At 40.4% G+C, this 26,375-nt stretch overlaps 1 protein-coding gene across 9 annotated transcripts in view, besides 1 other annotated feature; it reads right to left on the bottom strand.

Moving 5' to 3' along the window:
- Window positions 1-26,375, bottom strand: part of SOBP (sine oculis binding protein homolog) — a 171,190-nt gene that overhangs the window by 60,227 nt on the left and 84,588 nt on the right. For 6 of the 9 annotated variants that reach the window (NM_018013.4, XM_011535920.3, XM_047418963.1 and 3 more), the window contains one exon: window positions 13,905-14,000. The exons of the other annotated variants lie outside the window; for them this stretch is intronic. In NM_018013.4, the coding sequence (NP_060483.3) occupies window positions 13,905-14,000 (96 nt within the window). The remainder of the gene's footprint in view (window positions 1-13,904; window positions 14,001-26,375) is intronic. 9 annotated transcript variants of the gene reach the window in all.
- Window positions 14,537-15,429: an enhancer, noted in NCBI's record as "NANOG hESC enhancer chr6:107906855-107907747 (GRCh37/hg19 assembly coordinates)". NCBI's record gives its function as "activates a minimal SCP1, AML or CMV promoter by ChIP-STARR-seq in primed H9 embryonic stem cells {active_cell/tissue: H9 hESC(primed)}" and the evidence as "EXISTENCE:reporter gene assay evidence [ECO:0000049][PMID:30033119]".

The following is a 26,375-nucleotide window of genomic DNA, read 5'->3' as shown; positions in this document are numbered from 1 at the left end:
TTGCCAATAGAGAGCCACACCGGTATGGTTTGTTCATTCATTCATACAGCCAATATTTCTTGAGTGTCTATTCAAAGGCTTTATTAAGATTATTTTATACACATTATATAATTTAACAATATAACTTTAAATAATTTAATAATATAAAGTATATAATGATCTTGTAAAAATGAGGGGTAGAAATCTGTAAAAATCGAGTTCATTTCATGCCCATCCAAAATGATTTTGTGCCCTGCACATAGTAGGCACCCAATAAAAGCTTGCTGACTAGATAGATGGCATTGATGATGTGGATTCTGTGGTAAACATGATGGTATGTGGCACTTGCATAAAGTTCTCTAATTTATGGAAACTAATATCTTGGCCAGGATACACCAAAGAGCTGATGATTATGGCAGCTGACACTGAAGGAGAACTGATTCCAAGGCCTTTATCCTCAGGCTTCAGCTCCAACCATCAGTGTCCTTAACAGTCCTGTCATTTCTTTCTTGCAATAGAAAACTTAAAATGCAAACCCATGAATTTTGGTCTTTTTTTTTTTTAACAGTAGATTCAACCACATATATATTTTTTAACCTGCACTTCAAAATCTAAACATAACTTTGCATGGTTAGTTTCATCATCTAAAAAGTAATCCTTGTATTGTCATTGTTTGCAGGGGCTACCACTCGAATGAAGTGAGAACCAGTCTCCTAGCAGCAAGGCTGCAGGGCCACTACATCCTGGAAGCACATTCACATCATGGGCCCTGTGAGAGGCTCCACACTGCAGCCTTGACCAGGCGCGGCACGTAAGGAGGTATGTGGCTCTTCCCATTCCCGTAGGAGGAAAGGCATTTTACATAGACCCTAATTCCTGTTGGAAGACAAAAATTCCAATCCTCACACACATTGTAATTTTAGAAAGCATAACTAAAGCTAAAACTAAATTAGACAAAATAGGTATATTAGGCTCAGAAAGAAAAAAGCCAGGACAGAGGAAAGACATTAGGTCTCAATTTCTGTTTGCATGTTTTCTTACCATAATAGGCAGCTTATTGTCCCACAGCTCATTTTAATCTTGAACATGACCTTGATAATCTGTGTATGGGCAACCCAGCTATTTCAAAGAGGAGCTCTAATCAAGGGGAGATGCACTTGAGTTTTGACTAAACGACATTTTGCCCACATTCTTGTGGATTTTTGTTTCTTTGTTTGTTCATGTTTACAACTGAAACAAGTCCCAAATGTATTCCAGACATCTAAGCCAGAACAAAGGAAAACTGATTTATCAAATCAATAATAAGTGCCTAATTGATATATTCTGAAACTTATCAGCATATGAACAAAAAAGATGACCCCAAAAAGTAGGTGGTTGTGTTCACTTCCAAAAGAAAGTCAGGATTTTAAATGGTCAGGTAATTAGAAAAATTAAGAAATGTAGGATTTTAAGAAATTTAATTTGGGAGCTAGCAACCTTTTTTTTTTTTTCTCAAAAATCATCTTATGTTAATCCAATGTTCTACCTTTATAAACCCAGCAAATTAAATAAAATGTTTTTTTTGATGAAGATCTTGAAAATATTTAGGATTATAATTGGATAAATACCAGTTTTCTGTCTAGAGTCCTATACATGTGCAAAGTGTAAAGAATAAGCTAAATCCATATGACCGAAAGCTGTATATCATAAGATGGTTCATTTTTAAAAAACGGATTCGGACTACTCATATGAGTTTTATTTGTTAGTATTTCCTTCTTTCTCTTAAAAAAGTTGAGTCCAAAAGGATTTATCTTTATTAGTTACACTTTATTGAGCACTTGCTAAATGACAAGCACACTATATATATTACCTCATTTAGCTTTTACAGCAACCCTAAATGGCACACACAGTTATTCTTTCTGTTTTACAGATGCAGAAACTGACCATCTCAAGACCACAAAGCCGGTAACCCACATAGCCAGGAAGTGTTTCCAGGGTATACACACTAGATGGTCTCTATGCTATTTTCAGGGGGAAGGGGTTGTTGCATTCCTTGTACTGGAGACTCTATCCACATTTAAGAATCTTTCGTTCCTACTTTGCATTTGTGTAGTTTAAATCGTACTGATCCCTGAATCACTCTGGATCACAAATATTTTTAAACTTCAGTTTCTTGCTTCTACTTTGATCTTGTTTTTCCCACTGCACACAACTAGCTACTTAAGACTGTTATCCAAAATCTAAATTTACAGGAAAATTGGCTTGAAATGAAATCTTTGCCAGTTATTTATATTAAGATGATCATAAAAACTTGATGACCAATATTTTTGGACAGTCATTTGCAGAGTCACTTTCTTGCCTTTCCAGCTGTTAGAAGTCTTTGTCCTCATCACAGGGTGCCTGGACTGTTCTAACCGCCTTCTAGAAGTCTCCCTGCTCCCCTCCTCCAACCCATGAAAACAGTGCTTTCATAACAGTACTTCCTGGCTCAGGTACCTAACAGAGATTCCTATAGCCAAAACACCAAATGTAAAATTAGCTGTTTGGCTGTCACTGTTTTTATTATCTGACCACAACCTACTGAATTCATTTTATTCTCGCCACTCACAGAATGACGCTAGCACAGGCTGTCTCCCAACTGGCCCCCATATGCATGATGCGCACCCCTCTCATCATCATTCCACATCTTCTCTTTCTCTGGGATGCCCTTCCATCGCTACGCACCCTCCAAGGGCAAGCCCAACCTTCATCTCTTCCAAGGACCTATTCCTGATGACTCCAGGCCATCATTTCTTCCCTATTAAACGGCCTTTACTTCCTTATTGCACACATACATATTTTAATACGTATTCCTATTGTCTAGTCACCATGCCACACCATCTGGCACTTTATTATACACTGGAAGTACATTGTTCATATAAGCGTAGTTTGTAAACTTTTTTTTTTAAAGTTCTCTTTGTCTAGCCCAAATCTGTAAACTTCTTATGAGAAGGATGCACATTTTACATTATACTTTGTTTGCACTGCAACACATGACTTTTAAGCCCAGCCCTGGGGAGACAGCAGGTACCTAATAAATGCATGTCGATTGAAAGACAAATGTCTTAAAAATCTGGGTAACACACACACACCCCATAACCACCTGCTCTCATGTGAATTCCACTTTTTGGGATGTGTCCATGACATTAAATACCCAGTTTTTTTAAGGCTTTAAATCTCTATAGACATTGTCTTCATGCAGTGTATACAAAAGAATAAATTAGAGCTATGAGAAACAACTCAGACCAAATAAACCAGGGAGAATATATCCCTCGAGAAAAGGTCTTTTTGGTTTGAATTATCAAGACCGGCTGTCTCCATTGATGCAGCTCAATTTTCAACTTGGCTGATTTGATGACAGTCAGAACATTGTTTAAAAATCAAAATGCATGAAGGCTAAGGAAAAATGAAAATAAAAATTCCATTACAACTTAATTTTTCCATGTTATTTATTTTTATGCATTCATATATAAACATTAAATTAGTATAGAAAAAACACTGCATAAATGTTTGAGATGAGTTAAATGCCATAAACTCATAAATACTTCAGTAATGCTTGTTTATTTTCCTTTTCCTATATATAAATACCCACATTTCTACATGGGATATGTAAATCTGCCCTCATATATTGTATTTTATATGGTAGCTATGTAATAACATTGCATATTTTCAAAATTCATATACTTACTATCATATTCATAATTATATACTTACTATCTGGTAAGTATATAAATATTTCCCTAAGCCAAAAATGGTGTTTCACTGGAGCATCTTTACATAATTACCAGACAATTTGGAACTTAAAAGCATCACTGATTGAAATAGCTATCTAATGAAGGGCCCCAAATATTTCACATATCTTAATATCTGAACACTTTTTATATGAAAGCCTTATCCTAGCACACGTTCAATATTGCCTCCCTTCCCATCTCTGGTTTTGCCATTTAAAAATGTTCACGTGTTTCTTTTCCCCTCCCTGTTCACACAGAGAAACAAATAGCAGCACATCCTGCTCCAATATCAAAATCAGGTTCAAATTTTCCATTCAAAGGAAACCAAACTAAAATGAGATCAGAACACCAAAAAACAGCAGAGTACTTCACATGGTTAAGTCTGAGGCATAACTTCTATGCAATTTGATATACTGAATGTGGATTATGAAATTCTAAAGTATGGATAATATACCTACATATACTTTGTCTCTTCTGTAGGTTGGGAAGCTCTCTAAGAGATGGTGGTGGTGGTGGTGGTGGTGATGGATAAGGGCATCCTAATCTATAGAAACATACTTTATCCTAATGAAATCTATAGCTTGTTTTATTGAGAGAGACAGAGAAAGAGATTATTGCTCATCTACCTATGTATCTCCATGAATTTACAAGAGAAATATTGATGGACATGCAATCCAAAATAGAACAAAAAGCAATTTTCTGGAAAATCAAGGCAAAAGTAAAGTTTCTTATTTTAAACTCAGCTTATCTGGGGTATGTCTTAATTGATTTAACATTTCACTTGCAAGAATGAACAAGCCATCTATCAGCTCCACTCAAGGAAAAGTGAACAGCATTAAAATGCTCAGCCAAGATAGCCAGAGGCCAACCTCTACCCTGCCTCACTGGCGGCAGAAATACAATCCAGAACCAACTCATAAGCATTTCATTTTTACCTGAACTAGAACCAGGGAGATATGTTATTGCATATATTCATTCATCAAATAATTCTTAAGCGTCCACCTCCATGGTTCATTGAATCTATATCACCATTGGTTGTTACAATGCCTTTATTTTAATACCACCAGGAAAAAAAAAAGCCACTGGCAATTAAACAATGACAGGTCATCAATTGTAATATATGACTCCCATTTCTGAGATATTAAAATGTTAGGGGGGAAAGTGCATCTCAGAATTCATGAAAAATGCTGTGAGCTAAGCATGGTTCTCAGGGATCCAGCAATGAATGAGAGAGACAAGGCTCTTGACACACAAAGCTCTTGGCCAGGGCAGACTCATCTGGAATTAAAAGAGAATGAGTACTGTACTCTGGCAAAAGTCTCAGTTCCTGGTAGCATGTAGCTCTCCAGGAAGAGACCAAAAGTGTAGGAAGTGTGCAAAAAATACAATTAGGGAAAATATTTTAAGCCAAAATGCAATGAAATACATTATTTTGAAGAATCTTGTTTTCCTGAACCTGCTCATTTGAAGCTTAACCTGGGCTGCTATCTTCCTTCTTCCCTTTTAAAATTGCCTTACCAGTCCTCCCATCTCTAATTTCTTGCCTCTCTTATTACTCACATATGTCATTCTTCTCCACTTCAAATATTTTTTATACTCTTTCCCTTTTCCTCTCAAGAGACTTTCATTAGCTTGTTCTTCTAACCATAAACTAAGCACATGACTGAATATGATTAATATTAGTTCTGGCTGGTTACTGGTGCATTTTAATATTGATAATTGATATCCTATCTGATTTCCTGGTTTTGCTTGATATATGATGTATAGTTTCCTTGAAGCCACTGGAGGTGAATTCTCTTTGGTATTTTAGGCAATTGTTCAGTTCTAGTAATTAAAACAATAAAGGAGAATATGACTGACTCCCATATGCTAATTTATTGCCAGAAATCTCAAAAGAAATAGATCCATTCACTCTAAGGAATACAACCCTAACAAACCAAAATAGTTCAAGCTTTTTTAAAATAGCCTTAGTGATCCTAAAAAAAAAAAAAAAAAAAAAAAGGATCAAAATCTATAGCAGTCAGACTTTTAAAAAGACACTCGAATGTTTGTATCATATTGAAAAATATATTTTCTATAGTCTACAGCTGATCTTTTAATGTCCCAAGTCTACCAAATTAAAAACTATATACCTTGGCTCTGTTCCCCACAATTTATTATGCACTGGGAATCCGCAAACATTGCCATGACTTTCTGAATAAATTGCCCTTCCTAACATTCCCCATAGATGTTCTTTCTGGCTTCAGAATTCTACCAAAGAATTGTTACTATAAAGAAACTAGAAAGAGTCATTCTGAATTAATTTCTTAATCCCTTCATTCCACAATCATAGACTGTACTCCTTCTCTGGCCCTGGAATGTAAAAATGTGTAAGACCTGGCCCCTACCCTGAGAAGGCAGCGGCATGTGTTGGCCTGAGCACAAGCATGGGTGTGTGGTCAGAGATGTGGGTCAAGCTCTAGCTCTGTGCCTGCTCACTGGGCCTCCTGCCCTCCCCCAGAGCAAGGAGTATCCCATCTCTGCATTTTAATTTCCCCACTTCTAAAATGGAAACAGCAATATCTACTTAGAAAAGTTACGGTGAGAATAAAGGGCCTTAAAAGGGGTCTATACAGACAGATCACAGTGCTTGTTCATTGGAGGTGCCTCACAAAGGAGGATTTCTTGTCTCCTTCCCTTAGCACGGTATCAGAGGCACATCCATTTGCTATGGCAGATATGGCTCTGTGTAAATTACACCTTTTTCCCTTGCTTTGCATTTATGTTCTTAGTTGCACATTTTAACATTAAAAATTTTACTATTAAATGGTTAGGCAGAATGAAGAGGTCTGGGACCATGTAGAGAGTTTTCCTTGAGTCTTTTTTTTTTTTAAGCTTAGTGCCAAGAATTATCTTTGTGCCGTCCCCTTCACTGTTCAAAGGGAAATTTTGTGGGGTTTTCATGCAAATGTGCACATGTAAAACTTTCAGGTACTCCATTGCTAGTAAATTTGGTCAAGTAGTAGTCTATGATGTACTGGAAAGCAAGCAACCTTGGAATAAATCATCATAATCACAGCAACACTGATTGAGTGCCAGTTGTTTACCAAATACTGTTCTAAACACCTTACAGGCAGTCATCACTTAGACCCCAGGCCAACCCTACCCAATAGCTACTATTGTCCTCATTTCACACACCAGGACGCAGACACACAGAGATTCAGTGATTTGGGCAAGGCTATACAGCCAGTGGGTGGAGTGGAGGGGATTTCTGAATCTGAACAAAATAATCTGGCTTAAGAGTCCAAGTTCTTCACTACAACACTATACTATTTTTTGGAAACTTTAGATTATCCTACAAAAAGGTATTCAGATACTGCAGTACTTCATAAGTCAGCAACATTTGCGATGCCGCCAACAAGTATCTCTAGTTCCCTAGGCATAAAAAGGCAAGTGGATAGATGTTCAACCCTTTCTCAGAAGTTCTTTTACCCAAATTAAAAATATTACATTTGAGTTTTTATCCAAACAAACTGGGAGGAGACTCAAGTTGAAGAATAAAGACAGGTACTCCCAGTATCTGCCTCAAGATTTTGTTTAAACTAATGCATCCTTCTAGCTCCATTTTGTTAGTAATAAGACTACTGGTTGTTGAGCTTTTATTAGGTGCTAGGTATACTAAATGCTTCATATACATGATCTCATTGACTGCTGAAACAACCCCATGAGGTAGGCAGGTGCTGTATTTATTCTCGTCATATTGATAAAGACGCTGAGGCTCAGGAGAGTGAGAAACTTGCCCAGAGTGCACAGCTAGCACATCTGCGGAGAAAGGATTGGGACTCCCACTCTTATCCACCAGACCACAGTGCCTCCCTTGGAGAACACACAGTCTTCCATACCTCCCTCTGGCTCCAAGAATCACTGTGATGGACTGTGTGAGAAGCCAGCATGAAAACCAAACCATTATACCTCTGACATTTGTAGGCAATGGCTCTGAAATCTGAAGGGCAAAGATCCCCCATGCTCTGGAAAGGAGAGCCTGCCAAATCAAGACTCCGTCCCCCAATAAGGCCCCTATATCAGAGCAGAAGCTGAGCAACTCTAGCCCTCCCTCATGTGGCTTTTCTCTCAAATAATAGAATTACAAAGAGAGGTAAAATAGAGTTTGCATGCACGGGAAAGGAGGGGAGATGGTCAACTGTGGTCAAGAAGGTCTTTATATAGGAAAAGTGAAAGGACCTGAACTACAAGACTATGGCAGAAATGGGAGCCAACAGGCTGAAGAGAGGAAAGTGGCAGACAAAGCTGGAGAAGAAGATGAAACACCAGCACAGATGGGAACAGAGGAATGTGCAGATGAAATATGACTCAAGTGGAATCCATCCCTTCTGCCTGTATTAAAGTCTAGATGGTCTTGCTGGAGAGCATAATTATGCCACCTCTATCAGAACTGCCTCTTGCTTAGTCTAAGATTGTGACTTTTATTTCTGGAAAGTTCTATTTTTCCAAGATAGTTTAGGAAACTACGGGAATACAGGAATAACCACAAACTAAAGGGATCTGGGAGATGGCTGGGGAAAAAAAATGGTGAGACAGGCTAAGTTTCTCTAGACAGCAGCCAGTCCCCCTGGGATTTTCTGGTTATTTTACACTTGTGGGGCTATTGCAGTGACTATTTCAGGAAACTGGTACACAGTATACAATGTATGCATACATCATATGATGTTTTGTTTGATGTGATGTGAGTTCCAGTGTGTCATCATGATTTTAATTTTCAGTGCCTGTGTTGCTCAGCTGTAAAATCAAAGCAATAGTATGTAAATTCATGTTGAGCTGGGGCGTAAATCTGGCTTTCATTAGACCAAAAGCATTAAGGGGAGGGTCTCTGGTCAATTGCACCTATTCTGAGACATCTATTAAGTTTCAAATGAAACAGGGCAGTTTCTATCACCTTTCAGGGGTTCTTGTTATATCTTCATGATCTAGCAGAAAAGTTCTAGCAATGGCTAATATATGGCAGCCATCCAGAATTTCCCCTCACTACTGTGAGAGGCTAACATGTACTGGTGAGTTGGGCTGGATTGCAAAGACATCCAATCTTGTTTTTAAATGAATACACTTAGAACCAGGGGCCTGAGAGTAAATAAAGTTCAAGTCATCACTGGCACTGTGATGTGTCTTTCACTTTAAGGGCTTTTAAAACTGGGTCTGATTGGCCAAGCTTTACCAAGGTTGTGTTGAGCAGGAAAAGAAAAGCACAATATATAACCAAGAGTCATTTGTTTTATGTATGCATTGTCCCAAAGCTCCAATTCCCAGTTTAATTAGTATCAATGGATTGTTTCTAGCCAGAGAAGAAGGATCCTAAAGATTTTACAAAAAAAAAAAAAAAAAAAAAAAACACCAAAAGACCAAATCTGTCCCTCACAAAAGCATACATACTTCAGAACAGTACAGCAAAAAAAGTGGGAGGGGGTGCGGGGAAGGAAAATGAAGCATGATTAGTCCTGAGTTGATAATTGTTGAAGCTAGGTGAAAGGAACATGGGGGTTCATTATATGATTCCCACTACTTTAATTCTGTATACTTAGAAATTTTCCATAATAATGTTTTTAATCCACAGAAGTGCTAGGAATTCCCATGAAGCAGAATTACTAAAATCCAGACTCGATAGGATAGTGTCAGTTATTGAAACCCCTGCATATGGGACTGCCTGCTGTTCACCCCTTAGCCTTCAGGTACTCTACACTTGGCCAACCTATATACTAACCTGGGTGCAGTGCACCTGGCCCATACTTTCCCACCTCCATGCCTGTGCTATTTTCCTCTGCTGGGAAAACCCCCTTCCCTTACACTTCCTGGCAACTATCTAAATCCAACCCATGAAAGGCCTGGATCAAAGGTATCTTCCCTTATTAAGTTTTTAATGACTGCATACAGAAACAATCTCTTCCTCCTCTGTACTCCAAGAACTTTGCTAGTGCTCTTTTGGGGCATAGCTCACTGTGTAATAACAATCATGACTATAAGAAGATGATAATAACAGCAGCTAATATATACTGAGCACTTACTATGTGCCTGGCTCTTTAAATATGTCATCATTTTCTATCCTTATGATATGCTCTGAGGTTATTTCCTTTTATTATCACATTTTACAAAAGATCTGAAGCTCAGAGAGGTCCAAGGGGGTGAAACAGGGATCCAAAAGTGTGATGTGATATCAGATACGTTACAATAAATGTTAAGCCTTTGCGTCTATGATCCTTAGCTATACCACCAGGATGACAGTGTATAAAGTCCAGCTGGGGCAAGACCTGAGGGCCCACATTTTTGACGACTATGATACTGTATGTGCCTTATTTCTCCTACTGAATTGCATGCTCCTTCAGGGAAGGGACTGTGTCTTTTTCTATGTTGTGTCCCTACCTGCACTGTCTAGTACAATGCCTTGTACATAGAAGATGCTCAATAATGTCATGTTTATTGAGCCCTGGATTAGCACGGGGTATTTCTACTGCCTAAGGACTACATGCAACTCTTATAATCCACCTGTCTACATCCACGAGGAAATGAAATGGAAAAATCAGCCCACAGAAAAATAGCCTAAGCATCTCTTCTCATCATCACTTCTGATCACACAGCCATAAAACTAAAGTAGTTTTCATATACTCCCTACACAGGCATTGTAAGTGACCAGGAAGAATTCTTCCCTGATGCTATTTTTATTTCACCTTCCAGCTGTGAGCTCCCTCCCTTTCCCTCTGCAAAACCCTCACCCCTAACAGCCTCAGGAAAAGCCAAAGGGATTCAGACGTTGTCTAGGTGATGGCTCAGGAATCTGGAACTGAGGGAGACAGGCTGATTTTGCCCCTCTGAGTTTCCTTTCTCTTAGTTCCCCTTTCAAACTTCCTAAGCCTGGCTTTTTTTCCAACCAAATAATACTCCATCAGTTGCTGTTGTTCTTTGGTTATATTTTGACCTTCTTCCTGAACACAGGGATGTTCTCTGGACTGGTCTTTTGAAAACCTGGGGAGTAGGCTCAGGAGTCTTCAGTTCCTTCTCAAAACCCTCTCAATGTTCCTCTTCTTCTCACTAGAGGTCTTTCCCCTCCAGTGACCCAGCTTATGCTATATTTCTGCAAGGTCTTACTCTCAGTGGGCTTTCAAAAATTGAGAAAGTCGTGGCTGAGGAGAAACAGTGAGCTCATAACACACTTATGGTCCTCCTCACTCTAGCTCTGAACCCACCTCTAGCCAGAGATACGAGCATTTGAATAGAGGAAATGAGAAGCCTTCTAGTCCCAGAAGAAAGAGGCAGTAATGATAAAGGGACCAAGAATGGACTTGGGCTAGTCTCACCCATGGCTGGCTCTAAATGTTCCCTTTTCCAGGCTCTTGTAAACCAGGCTGCTACACTGTTAACATGATAGAAATTTCCTACATTTTCTTTTATTAAAAGTTTTCTTTAGTCATAAACTTAGATATGCCAGCAAAACACCCGTGTGTGTGTGTGTGCACGTGTGTGCGCATGCCTGCAAGTGTGCATGACTATCTATGAAGAGGTAGGTGGGGCCACACTGAATTGTGACATATCAAATAGTACTCGTTTTAGCTAATGTCACTTATCTTGACAGCCTTTCATTTTCAAAATTAATAAAAAGCATAAGGAGACTGCTGCACAGTCACCAACTAAAGGATCTTGGCCACAAAGCTAAATATCTAGTCATCTGTGTTGTACATTAAGTGTGAAGGCACATATCACAGTTTGGGATTTAAATGGAAAAATCAATACCCTACAGGAAATCTACAGTTGCATAGCAGATTTTTCTATCAGCCAATGCTTTCTTTGTCAGTGCCTTCTGATTACACACACTTGTGTATTCCGGGCATCGATTTTGCTTTGCTTTTGTTTAAGTTACTTAATATTCCTCCCTCTTCCAAGAAGCAGGCATGTGGGGGTGGGGAGCGGGCAGAGACATTAGAGAGTCAGTAATAAAGTCAAGGCAATGTCCCGTCTACCTGGCCAGGGCACTTTCTGTCAGTGTCTGTGGCACAGAGGACTAGTCGTCCAGCCATGTGCTCCTGATCATCTGGGGGCCCAGAAGAACCCTGTGCCCTCAGTGCTTTCTCCAGAGCTCCCATGCTTTCTAAACTGGCTACTGCTCTTGCAGCAATCCATGCAAGAAGATGGCAGAACCACCCTTCAGCTAAAAAAGTACTTTGGAGTGGAGCTTGCAATCTTCTCTGACAGATTCTTTAAAAATCTGCTCTAAGTTGCACTAAGAAAACTCCAAGGATTTCCTATTTCTTTCTTATGAATGAACAAGTCTCTTTCATATAGAAGCATAACTTCTCAGGGCTTCATAACCAGCCAAACACCATCACTTTTCTTACAGCTGAAAAAAATTAAATTTCTCCTTGGAGAAATAAGCTTACTTATGTTTTCTTTTTATTCCTTTTCTTTTATCACAGGAAAGTATACTGACCAAAATAAAGCATTTCTAACAGTGACTGGAAGGACGAAGATTGTACCAAATTGCTCAAAACTACTGCCAACACAACAATGTGTTTAAGCACAGCAATGACAAAACATCTATTTTCTCTAAAGACAGCTAAAAACGATGTTCACATATATGTTTTGCTTCCTCCAGTATAAACTGACCACAACCAGGACTCAAGCATGTTCATTTTTCCAACAAATAGACAAAAATTAAATATGGCATGTTACTTTTGCAAATTTCTCTAAAAAGAAGTAAGCTACCCCAAAGCATTCTGATACCAAAACACAGCATAAGGGCCTCTGTGGTCTTCTGCTGAATAATCATAGTTACAGAGACACATTAAAACCGAAATGAACAAAAAGAGTTTCCTCAGAATAGGTAATGCTAGCAGTCCTGGAAGTTTAAGAGTCCTAAGATAAAACATAAGTTAAGTTAAAATTTCAGAAAAAAATTACATTTATAAGCAGCAAATTTGCCTGTGGATCTGTTGGTCAAGGGACTACACACACAGAATAAGTAGTGTAATTGTAACTGTGCAGACTGTGGAGGGGGAAAAGGAGGTTCTTGCTGTCAACATGTAGCTACTGCGGCTAGAATGGGTAAGAACTGAATTTTTGTCTCTTCTGCTCTTTGGACACTTTGTTTTTAATGAACAGTTGGTATCAGAGCTAAATCCAAAGACTGTTACATGTGGGATTTCCTAATGCAGAGACCTGGCAGAGCTGGTCGGCCAAAAAACTAAACAGAAATTAGACTACCTCAAAATGTAACAACTGAGCATCCTCATTCTCTTTCAGTGTTTTCACTTAGTTGGAGCAAATGTTTTGCTTTAATGCAATTGAAAAGAAAAGAACATTTAGGGACAACATAGCTAGATCCCTCATAAAGCTTCATTTTCAAAAGGAGTGTTTGAATCTCTAAATAAATGACAATTCATTCTCTGTTTACTTTAGGTAAACAGAAAATGCATTGCAGAGCACTCATTTTCAAAAGCTAATCAAGAACATTAGGTCCCAACAGATTCATTTAATAGAAATATAATAGGCATTCCTGCTTGCTTTTCATCTTGTCTGGCTGTAAATGCTAAAATGAACAGCAAATTAACCCTGCATTGGAACAGAGTCTCAATGTCACAGCTGATATCCTCCCTCTCACGACTTGTAAACATCCCCGCACCCTGTCACTGCTTTGACTCCTTCTGCATAGGAGAGACGATTAAGTTTGGCAAGAGAGTGGAGGAATACTTGAATTCTAAAGGGAGTACTGCGTGTCAACTCTGCTATCTTCCCTAGCAGAACAAAATATTACCATGTTGTCTCCTAAAATAGTGTACAATGAGGACGTAGGAGGAGGGGTGAGGGTGAGGTTCTTTTTTCCCAAGCTACATATATCAACTGTCTTTCTCTATATTTTTAACTTTACTAGCCATTCTCCAAGTGGCTGCTTATAAACTACTAAACACAACAAGCTAATAAAGACAGGGCCATTCAAGCTCTATAATCAGATATAAAAGATTTGCAAACAATTTGAGATCTTAAAATTAATATTCAGTGATATCAGAATTAGCATTTAGAACTCTATACAGAAAACTATAATATTTCATCAATTATGTAATCATGAACAAACCCTTTCAAAAACTGTTTTCACTGTGCTAAAGTAACATTCTAGACTTGTTGTAAGTATGTTATTCTTACAAGTAGTTCGCAGTTATTCTTGAAGGCAAGCCTTGGAGTTTCCTTAGCATAGTGCTGCTGGGGAAAATTTTCAGCATGTCCATCTTCATCTCTAGCCTGAAGGGAAATATAATGGCCTATTTAGGGACTTACAAATAATGGAAGAAAAAAAGCTAAAAAGCATAACAGCTCAGATCATTCAACAAACGGGAATCCAGAAATAACAACAATATTAAGAAGTTTGTTTAAATACGCAGTACGCCTTTTAGGTATCAAAATTTGGGATTTATTTTTCTTTACATTGTTTAGTTTGAACATGCAAATTCATTGTGGTGTAATATTTAAAACAATATCAAGCAAACCAAAATCAAATAATTTTGTTGGCAATTACCACCACCTTAGTTTTTCAGTGCGCATTGTTCATTGCACATTTAGGATTATATGACATACATACGTGTTTAAACTTTTTGGCATGCTTAAGCAATCTCTAGATAATGCACTTTTAAAAAATTCTAATAGCAAGGCCATAAGAAAAGCAATCTGCATAATTATATTTTGCATTGTAATACTATTAGAGATAAACTGATTCCCCTCCATTTTTAAATAAAGATCTAAAAGGAGCGATGATCTGGTAAGAACCATGATTCTTCAATCAAATGCAGTAAAAAAAAAAAAAAAGATTTAATTTAAAAGCTGCATTAAAAGTTACTGGTTATTTTGATCTACGCTGTTAATTAAGAAAGCTGAAGTTTAAATGGAGACATTAACAGAACCCATTAGCAATACCGCTTGCATACAGTCTTCTTTCTAATCTCCACTGGTTTCTGGTTTGGAGTGGGAGAGAAGGGAGAGGTAGGTGAAAGGGGGCGTGTCTGCAGCACACTCATTAAACCATTCATTTGCGTGACACTTGCACTCCGCTCTGCTCTCATCTCATCTTAGCCCTAACTGCTCTCTCTTTCCTGGCCTCCTGAAATTCACAGCTGAGCTGTCTCCCTCACATATGGCTTGCATATAATTATGCATATTCCATTTTACACTGCATTAAAATGATGAGCTCCTGGCTCCCTGCCAGCTGATTTTTAAAAGCCCTAGTGAAGTAGGAAAAAGGAGAGAAACACAGGGAGAGCCGCACAGGAAGCAGCAGGTAGTTCTGTCTGCTGTCTCTTTAGATAAAATGTATGTCTGGCACCAAGGGAACAGCTGAGAACTACCTGTTGTTATGTATGGATTGAGGGGGGAGAAAACAATGAGCATACACTGTGGCAGAGATGACAATGCTTATGTATTGTTCCTCCTTTAATGGAGCAAAATCTGCCCTGATGAGTGTCACTCAGAGCTCCCTGGCTATACTGGGGCTTGTCATTTTAGAAAGAGATCCATATTTTGTACATTTTAGAATGTATTGCTTGTGTTTAAGAAAGCTTCTGCTACCTAGTCCAGGGAGGGAACTAGATGGAACTTGGAAGTGCAATGTCATGGTCAGTAATATTTAGGTTACAAGAAGTTTGTGGGGAAAAGAGATTGCTCTCTTTTGGTTCACTTTTGAGATTTATAACATCCCTCATGCTTGGTGCCTTTTTATTGTACCTTTTTTTCCTACTAAATCAGACTAAAATAAAAATGCAGTTATAGGATTGGCTATATGCGACAGAGAAAAAAGTTTAATTGTTGTTCATGTCCAGTGGCTACAAGGCACTGAGACCAATGATGTTTCTTCTTACTGCATCGGAACAACTTTGCAGCTACGCCATGGTTTAAATTAATATAGCTCAAATGGGTCACATTTTAAATCCCAACTGGCAAAGGCAGCAGTGGCATAGATAAATGAAAGGCAGTTGTAAGAAAGTAGGAAGATGCCATTGGGCAGTGACAATATTAGATTCTTCATAACAAAATGTTAAGCCACTCTATGAGGTACAGGTCTCTTAAAGGCAGGGACCACATCAATTTCATCTTTCTTGTTCTGCCATGCCCAGTGCCTTACTTTTAGTTGATATTTAACAAACATTTAAGTGATGATGGAAAAAACCCATACGTGGATAGTAAGTAGACCCTACCATAAACAACTCTGTAGAAAATGCCACCTCAAAATATGCTAAACTTGGTAGTAGCTTTATTATATTCCTGATGCACTATGATATATATGCTTGGAAACACACTTTGCATATAATTTTCAAGGGCTACTATTTACATATGTATGTCTATATTCAATATATATGTATCTTGTATATAAATATTCATAAGGTGGAATGTGTTTATTATGCATATACTATGTATACACATTCATACACACCAGATGCCTAAGGATATTTTCAACATTAGTGGCAAAAATACATTCATTCCACTTACATGTAAGGTGCACACAATGTTTTTTTTGTGTTTAAAGGACAAAAAAAAAATCCCATTATCTAATATTTGAATATGCTTCCTCAAAGGGGCTACAGACTTCATATAAAGCTGCATAATTTATGAGGTTAAATAAAGTAGCAGTGGAAGAGAAAGGAGAGGGGGATTGAAGAGATTCGGAAGTGGAGACAGAAAGCTAGAAACTTGCTTTTTTATTGAACCATTATGTTCACCTCTGCATCAAACTTCCATGGCTCTGGGAATGGCCTGTCCTCTAACACCCACCCTGACTCCAGAGTCCAAGAAATTCTATCCTTCAGCCATTTGCTGTGTTTCCACTACATGCCACAGAAATGAAAAGCATGCAAAGTACAAGAAGTTCTTGAACCATCACCTTCACGTGTATTTGTGTGCACAAATAACTCACACACACTTCTCACCACTGTAATCCCCTTTGCATTGTGAAATTTTTAATGTGTAATTTTAAATTACTATGACAGGAATAAGTGTAATTCAGTGCATTCATCTAACACAGGAATTCGCTACCCCAGCTGCATATTAGAATCATCTGGGGTGTTTTTTTTTTTTTTTTTTAACATATTGGTGTCTGACCCCCTCCCTTTCTAAGATTGTGCTTTAACTGGGGCCTGGACACAGGTGGTTTTTAGAAAGCTCTCAGGTGATTGTAATGTACCAAAGAAGGGCGAGAACTGCCGATCTAAGGAGAGTGCCTACAGCTATCAAGGGGAGGCCCTTGGCATAGCTGCCAGAATGTTCTCTAACCAGGTCCCAGGCCCACTGGAGTGAACCATTGTGCTATGAGAGGGGGATATACAGGTTGAGCAACCCAGATTCAAAAATCTGAAATCCCACATGCCCCAAAATACAAAACTTTTTGAATCCCAACATGATGCTCAAAGTAAATGTTCATTGGAGCATTTCATGTTTTGAATTTTCAGATTTAGCATGCTCGACCAGTAAGTATATACAACGCAAATATTCCAAAATCCCAAACACTTCTGGTCCCAAGCATTTTGGATAAGGAACACTCAACCTCTAGGATGTAGTCCCTATGGTAGACCTTACCCTAAATATTCAAAAAGCCTGGGCAACACAGGGAGACCCCATCTCTACCAAAACAAAACAAAACAAAAACTAGCCAGGTGTGGTGGCATGCACCTGTAGTCCTAGCTACTTGGGAGGCTGAGGCAGGAGGATTGCTTGAGCCCAGCACTTCGAGGTTATGTTGAGCTATGATCGCGCCACCACACTCCAGCATGGGCAACAGAGCAAGACTCTGTCTCAAAAAAAGAAAAAAGATTTAAGAGATTACAGAACTAGTTGCTTGTGGGCAAAAATTATCATTATTTGTTTGTTTGTTTCTTAGTTTCTGGTATGACCAATAATCTTGGAAGAACTACCATACCACTTCCTTAAAAAGGCCTTCCCAAACCTCTCTATCCAAGGCAAATATCTCCTCTGTGGTCCTTCTTAGACTCAACATGGTTGCAACCTTGGAATTACTGGTGTGATTTTTGTCTCCCCTAGTAGCCTACAAGCTTCCTAAGGGCAAGGACAGAGTCTGATCTCCCACCACTGTATCTTCAGCCCAGCCACTGCCTGATGCCCAGTAAGTGATCTGTAAGAATGAGTTGGATCATTCACAGAACTGGTGGCAATGTTAGACAACATCCATAGGACCTTCCTTACCCTAGAGAATCAGTTCATAATGTTTTACAACCTCTTATATATTAAAGTCAGAGGTTTATTCTACATCTGCCCCCACTTGGGTGGGGTGCCAGACAATGGCTTAACAAGGAGGGTGGACATAGGACACCAACGACCCCTTCAGGGAGGAATATGTGAACACTAAAATTGTTCAGAATCACTGGCTCATGGTAACAACATAAAGCAGACCAACTTTTAGCTGGTTTTATTATTGTTCTTAAATCCTCTGCAGACAATGCATTCTCTAATTGCCTCTTGAGAGTGGACCACCCCACTGTCGGCTCTAGATATCCACTGGGGCCAGAAGAATTGTGTTCACGTCTGACTTTTTTCCAGAGTGACAAGTTCTGAAAGAAGGCACATCAAGGCACTTCATGATGAACTAACTCTCTCCTTGTGTGTTATTTTCAACAGTTTTATTCTGACTAGTGTGCTAGATATTTATGCCAACTACAGGGAAAAGCAAATGGGAGACTATTTTTTTGCATTTTACTACAAATGTGATTGTCAGAACAAAGGTGCATTTTTGACCTATTATTCTAAGGAAATTTCTTTTTTTTTTTTTTGCCATAACAGAAACAAAAATCCTTCAGTTAAACTGCAAGCGGATTTCCCTGTTTTGCTGACAGTTGTGTAACCATTTTCATGTTGTGCCTAACATTTAGATAAATATTAGATGATATGAGAAATTTACAGTAATTGCCTCTCTACTTCAAAAACCTCTGGTTTAAACAAACTTTGTATTCACCTCTCTTTCCCTCTGAATCAGCACTAATTCACTTCTCTTATTTTGATTCTTACAATACAGCAAACTTTAGTTCTTCAAATTCACTGCTTCCTCTGAGCCAAAGTCTTGGTGCCATGTGCATGTTGGAGCAAGCTAGGCATTCTTCCTCCTCTGAAGAATGCCTTTAGAAAAGGTGGAACATTCTAGAAATAGCTCCACTTGCCTACCCCAGAGAAGTGTGATGTTTCTGACTCCATGAAAAGGTTAACAATATTGCCATTTAAGTCAAAAGATAATTAGGCTTCAGAGTTAATACCTCCCTGTGATGAATGGGAGTTTACACTTCTGTGTCATTGTGATCTCAGGATTTCTTTTGAAAACAAGCAAAGATTCTGCCTGGAATCAGGGCCGGGGAGAGCACAACAGAGTTTCCAAGCTTAGCCCTCCTATGCTGCAGCAGAGGCAGCACATGTCAGCTCACACATGTGGCATTTTTACCGGACTTAAGAACACCAAAAACAGCTCAACTCAAAGTTGTGAGAATAAGTGTATAGTTGAAGAATTGGAGAGGAGAAAAAAGGGGCCATTGATTTTATATTTTATAACTAATTGTTGGAACCAGAAATAATAGAGTTTATTTTCGAATTCAAGGTAAAAGCATGGGGACACTGCTCTGAAAACGCATGGAATTTCATTTTCTGAAATCTCGTTTCTGGTTTAGCCTTCCTTTCTCAAATGCATCCACACGTTCTCTTGAGGAAGCTCAGGAATAAACAGCAGCTATCACACACTGCCTTTCAGTATGCTGTGAATGTCTTTGTGAACTTGAACTAAAGGTCAGCACTGATTCTTTGTCCTGCAGTGGACAGACACCTGGGATCTCTGTTCAGCCACTCCTGCCTCTGGTGGGAACAACATAGGGAGGTCTTCAGAGTAGCTCCCTGCCTCCCCTGGAGTTACTGCACTGTTGAGCTCATCTCAGTGGCCCAACTCCTCGGGTCTGAATTCTTAGTGCCCTTCAACTGGGTCTCCTGTCCTTCACTCCCATTCTTTCTGGTGGAGCTAGATTCCATCTCTCCTTCTGCTGGCAGATCCTTATGTGACCTTTAAGCCTTCGTTCAGACTGCAGCTCCTTTAGGAAGCCATCAGTGACTCTTCCTCCTGGTCCTTGCCTAAGCTCTGCACCCTCTGTCCCTGTATTTCCATTCCACACCAATTTATTGCATTGCATTATGACCATGTGTGTGTCTGCCTCTCCCACTAATCAAACAGGTCCTTGAGTGTGGAAACTGCGTTCTGACCAGCTTCAAATGTCCAGATCCTGGACTAGTGCCTGGCATATTATAAGGGTTCCATAAATGACCGAGTGAGCGAATGAATAAATGAATGGGTTTCTATCCTTTAACGCTATCGCTGGATATTCAGCCTTACACTCCAGTCCCTACCAGTTGAGTGTTCTGCCTCTGAACCTCAGGAGTCTTCTCCATACCCGAGTCTCAGCACGGCTCTCCTGGAGCTATCTGATCACACCTGCCTCACACCTAGACCTTCACCAACTATTCGATGCACTTCTGCCCAACACCTGCTCCTCCTACTTGGTTAGATACCATGGTCTTGGCCTCACAGAAGATCTTGCACTCAATTTGGACTTTGGCCAATCATCTTTTTGCCCCACGTTTCTCTCCTCCACGTCCCTGTTGAATTGATCCTCTGGTCTTTGCCCAACAAATTCTCATCCTCAAAAGTCCATTCCTTGATTAGATTAAGCAACTGTGCACCTTGTTCCCTGTTTCTGATATCTCACCTTCTCCTAGAGTCCCAGGTCTGTCTGAGACTCCTTGGTTACCATCCATGTCTTATTTCCTCTACCAGACTGAAACTCCTTGACGGCAGAGACCATGCATTATGTATGAAGTCCCTTATATAACAAACAATCCTGTAAATATATGTCGAATGGATTCATTAGCTCTCATTCTTCCTTAAGCCAAGGCCTGGAATGTTCTGTTTTTCTCTACTCTGAACTGCCTACCTCTATGAATGGATAACCCTTAAATACGAGTTATTTCTATGCAAATATTCAAGTCACTGAACAGATTGTAGAGAGTTGCATGGTTCTCAAACAAAATTATGTGTGCATGCAGCTTGGGTGGAGGGCTTTCTCCTGGACAGAGGGCTCCCACCTGGCATCAGATTCTCTGCTCTGGAGATATGCCAGTAACCCAGAAACATCCATCTCTGGACCCAGGCATCTGCTCCATTCACATTACTACTAATGTCTGCCTAAGGATCCCTTGCCCTCCCTTTCACCTGCTTGTCGAAGACTGTCTATGGGGATTTCTGCAGTGGTGCTGTTTTACTTTGTTCTTTTAACCAAATGTATTTAAATTCCCATTTAGTATGTAGGCTGTAGGAAAAGCTGTTTGCCCAGAGAAGGCCCTCCTAATTCTCCATCCTCCTTAACTGGCTAACTGACAGGCTTTCTCCATAGCTCTTCAGGCTCCTCTGACAGCTCACACACCTCTGATGGATGAGATGGACTTATTTGCTGCAGCTATTTTTTCACTCCATGCAAACCTTTATATATATCATAAATTTTTAACATCCAATTTGGAGTCTTCAAAGAGTAATGGTAACAAATATGCAACATGAAGATAATGGGAATCGAATCATGTTTATGGCCTCCATGAGAATCTCCTTAAATGATGTCAGGTCAGGGCCCCTCAGAGCCGCACGCATGTGAGGCTATGGGGCTGATCTCGTGCCTGATTAATGGCTGCCTTTACTCAGGGGCCCTAATGGATTGCGTGACAGTTATGGCAACAGATTCCACATCAGCCTGAAATACAGCTTCCACATGAACTAAAATATATCATGTTCATCCCAGCACATTAAAACTGTGTCTGGAATAATCAGAGCAGTTGCTTAAGCGGTTCTGAAAATGCCTGTTTTTACTTTTTATTTTTAAATCTATTTTTCCTTTATTGGACAGGTGACCCTTTTGCATTTATCTTGCAGGGCTCTTTCTCAGGTCACCTGAGTGTCTTTGTTTGGTAAGAATTGTTATTTCACAGGTAAGGCCCAGCAGCTAGGAGCATGCAGCCCCCTTCTTTTTCATTCTCTGCTAAGGCCACACCACCTCACACCCCAGGCAGCTTCTGATTATTCCGGAAGCTTAATCGACACTGGATTATCCAGGCTCCTTTCCCTTCCCCCACTTTCTTCCTCCGCCCACTGCCTGCCTTTTGGCTTTTCACTAGTCATTTGCATCTATTACCCAGGGACACAGTGAGGGGAAACAAAAGGAAGGGAAACACAAATGATTCCACTTTGCTGCTGGTTGGCACCCACAAAATCCTTAATTAATAGACCTAATCTAGGCATTTCAGGTACTCCTTTTATTCCTTTTCTCTGAAATCACTAGGCAGAAGGGGGTTGGGCTCATATGATTATATGCAGATCTCATGATGGACCTGAGAAATCAGAGAAAATGTGAAACAGGCAAGGGCTGTACTCCAGGACCCTATCTGTAAGGCTAGAAAAGGATCCAGATGTTACAGAGGAGATTCACTATCTACAGGATGCCTCCCCCAGAAATAACCCGGCCTCAAATGGGATTAAAAAACACAGTACTAACCAGATTAAGATGCTGTTCTGGTTATTATCCGGGATTAATAATAATGGCTAACATTTCTACAGCTTTTCTTGCACGTACCAGACACCATCCTAAGTGCTTTATATGTATCAACTCATTTAATGCACACACTCATACATATATCAAGGAAAGAAATGACTTATGAAGTAGGTACTATCATTATCTCCATTTTATATATGAAGAAGCTGGGGCACAGAGACATTATGGAGTTTACACAAACTCACACAGTTAACAAGTGGTAGAACCAGGATTCAAACCCAGGCAGTCTGGCTCCAGAATCCCCATGCCACACACTGATGATCTCCCACCTATGTGCTGGTGGCAAAGGTAAATTGTGTACAATAACTTGAAAATACTGGTGTCATTACATTTTAAAAACATGTTATTAAGGGAAATTTTCAAATTTTCTTTGGTTTTAGCACTCCAAGATTGAATATACCAAGAAAATTAGGAAAAGAGAGTGTTTAATGACAAATATAACAGAATGGGGGGAAGGGAGGGAGGGTGCGGGGTGGGGGAAGAGGCAGTCTGCAAAGAGCCCAAGAAAAGGGTTCCCTGCAGCTTCAGAAGCAGCGTCAGTAGGTCTCTGATACAGCCTGTGAAAGATGGTACTCCAACATCTTCAACACTTAAACGAACTTCTTCTTTTTTTTTTTTTTTTTTTTTTGAGACAGAGTCTTGCTCTGTAGCCCAGGCTGGAGCGCAGTGGCGCCATCTCGGCTCACTGCAAGCTTCGCCTCCCCGGTTCACGCCATTCTCCTGCCTCAGCCTCCCGAGTAGCTGGGACTATAGGCATCTGCCACCATGCCTGGCTAATTTTTTTCTGTTTTTAGTAGAGATGGAGTTTCACCGTGTTAGCCAGGATGGTCTTGATCTCCTGACTTCGTGATCCACCTGCCTCGGCCTCCCAAAGTGCTGGGATTACAGGCATGAGCAACCACGCCCGGCAAAACCAACTTCTTTAATCTAATTCTTACTAAATAAACTTCAGATCATCGAGTATGACACCTAGGCCTCTCAATACCAGAAAAGACACATCCTACCAAACTCACTCAGTTCTGCAGGTCCTTTAGCAATCTCCTTTGTGGACTTCTAAAAACATCATCAATATTATGATACAATTTTTTATTAATCCTGTAGGTGATGCTGTACAGACTACAAGGGGCATTCATGCTATCTTGTCTCCTGTATTCCTGGCATTCGGTATATAAATGCAGATTGTGACTTTGGTCAACATGAGTCAGTTCATCAAGGCAGTGGATATCCCTGGACCAATCAGTGAAACTGAGTCCCTGGATGTGCCTTGTTGAGAAACCTGCCCACCTTGTGGTGATTGTTTTGGGGGATGAGGGGGTGGAGCACCAAAAGCCAGTTGGCCAGCCTCTGCTCTGTCCACAACACCCTCCACTCCTAGGAATAATAGAGACAGAAGTACAATAATGTAGCTCTGAGCAGGTCGATGGCTAATTAGCTCAAGTTGGTGGGAGCACAAAGCAAGAGCTTAGGTCACTGCCCTGAGTGAGTTAGCTTGATCTATGTCACTGTCACAGAACACACCCTTCGTCATGACCTGCCATGTCACACATGTACAGGTCTTGGCAAAGGGGAGACAGACACCAGAAAACATGCGAAAGGATGCAGATGAATCAGTGCACATCTCTCACTGCTTCTGGAAGAAATAACTCACAGGGCATATGCTGGTGAGGGTAGTCATGGATAGCTATGAGTCACAAATTGAAACAAATGGTGTCCGTGAATTAGTTACTAATCCTGAGGTCAAGAACTATAAATTCTCAACTAACAGCAATACTTATCAAAGACATGATGTCACAATTGTTATTTGTGACAAGAGCTCAGCACTCAGATGAATTTAACTTTCTTTTCTTCCACCAGCAACCACAGAAATGCTATAATCAGGGTATGGGTATAACCAGGGTTGCCTACATCTGTTCTGGCCCGTCCATATGCTAAGCCTCAGTTTACCTCATCCCCCAGGTGCCCACCAACCAGCAAAGCAGGGCTGCAGATGCTTCAAAGCCATTCCCAGCCATCACCCTGCACTCTTGCCACTGATTCCCTGCAGCTTTGGCTTGAGCCCACTTCCATACCATTCCCAGCTCACCACCCTCACTCTGACTGTGGTCCTGCCCTGGCCCTTTGATCTGTGTACTCGGCCTGGCTGGAGCTGACTATCCTTCATGGGTATGGCCTTGGTCCTGCCACTCAGGTCTTTATTCTGGACAGACATAGGAAAGTATCCCACCCTGGTCACTGCTCTGGCCTGGGACAGTGTTACAGTCAGCATTGCATAATGTTGTCCAAAATATAATTTGTCTTAAAGATAAGATTTCTTTAGGAAGAAATATGAGTATTATATATGTAAAGATCTAAAATCAGCCTGAACATGAAGGAGAAAGCCTAGGACGAGGACAGAATCCTGACTTTTACTGTGCGCTAGCCACATAAATGATATGCAGCAATACTGCAACTTCTGCCAGTGGATGTAGGCAAAGGAGGAAGATGAGGCGACACATCCCTGGGTCTTTCAGACTGTGAAGTTCAAACATGATTTTGGGCAGGATGGTCCTCCTGACAGCTCCAATTATGATCCACATGCCACTTGACCTGTTAACGGAGGTGCTATCAGACTTAAGGAAGAAAAATATCTGAATTACACTGCCTCCAAAGCCAGGACCAATGAGCCTCTCTGAGGAGCCAAATGCGAAGATGGAGGTGAAGAGGCTTCATAAATAATGACCTCTGCTCCAACGACACTCTCTGGAGTCTTTGTTTCAAACCCCAGCCATTCTGCAGATGATGAATTGAGGTAATAAAAAGTAGGATTGTGGCATGCTTAAATAGGGGATAATCATTTCGGCAGAATTTGACTGGGGTTTAGGGACACGCCTGTTGAAGCCAACAGCTGAGTATCAAGTTGAAGTTCATTTCTGGATGACAATTTTAGTTAATTCTTGCTCCTCTGTCACCCTGTCTTCTTCTTCTTATTATTATTATTATTACATTTCCAGGAGGTGTATTTTGGGGTCAAAGCCCAGGTGAAGGAAGACAAAAAGTGACCTGCGTTTCCACAACCTCTCCCTTCTTAGTGTAAACTGAGAAAAATAATATGTGGTTCTGCCTTGCACAGTGAGCAGCCCCACCCCTTCTGTTTGTTCCATTCCCTCCCTCACTGAACCTTTCTAGCTACCAACATTTCCAAGCTGTCCCAGTTCCTCTGCACCTTGGTCTCTCAACCACCCAGTGTTGCTCTAGATGGCATCTCAGAGATGACTGGAAACCCCACTGTATGAAGGCTGGACCCCACTGGGGAGGGCATCACCAATTCCAGAACCTTCCAACTCAGTGACTACTTCATGGAGCTGTCATCCGGAACAAAGGAAGAAAATTCAATATAGAAGCCACTTTGACAATAATAATAAGATTTAATGATTGTCCTGTGCCAGACCCTGTGCTAAGCATTTTACAGACTTTGGCTCATTAAAGCTTCCTAAACCTTTAGGAAGTCCCTATTACTCACCACCTCCATTTTGCCAGTGTAGAAACTGAAGTGTAGAGAAGTTAAGCAACTTGCCTAAGACCAAAGAGCCCATAAAAGGCAAAGTTGGGCTCTGAATGCAGGTGTCATGACACCAGGTGCAGATCTCAACCCCCATGCCACACTGCTCGTGCGCCCCAGGAGCACAGTGGGCAGAAGCAGCATGGTGACAATGAGTGGCAGAAACCGCAGGGATTACTAGAAGGCAGAGAAGTTGTGGCTCAAACCCTCACATCCTTGCAGGTCCTTGTGGGTGAGAGGTAACTCGCCCTCTGGTCTCTCCCCTTCGTGGTAAATTATTGGTGTCCAACACAGCTGAAACGGAGGGGTGGTGAGGGAGCTGGCACCTCATGGGGGAAGCTGAGAGCCAATCTCATAGGCTGAGGAACACGGCCAAAGGCTGAGCAGACCCAAATCCTAGGCCCACCAGTATTGGCAGGGTGGACTCTCCATGTGTTCTGGACTTGGGGTATGGGACCA

Source organism: Homo sapiens, chromosome 6, assembly GCF_000001405.40.
Source record: "Homo sapiens chromosome 6, GRCh38.p14 Primary Assembly".
In the NCBI taxonomy this organism is placed as follows: Eukaryota; Metazoa; Chordata; class Mammalia; order Primates; family Hominidae; genus Homo; species Homo sapiens.
The sequence above is the reverse complement of the archived record's forward strand: the minus strand, read 5'-3'. Positions and strand labels throughout refer to the sequence as shown.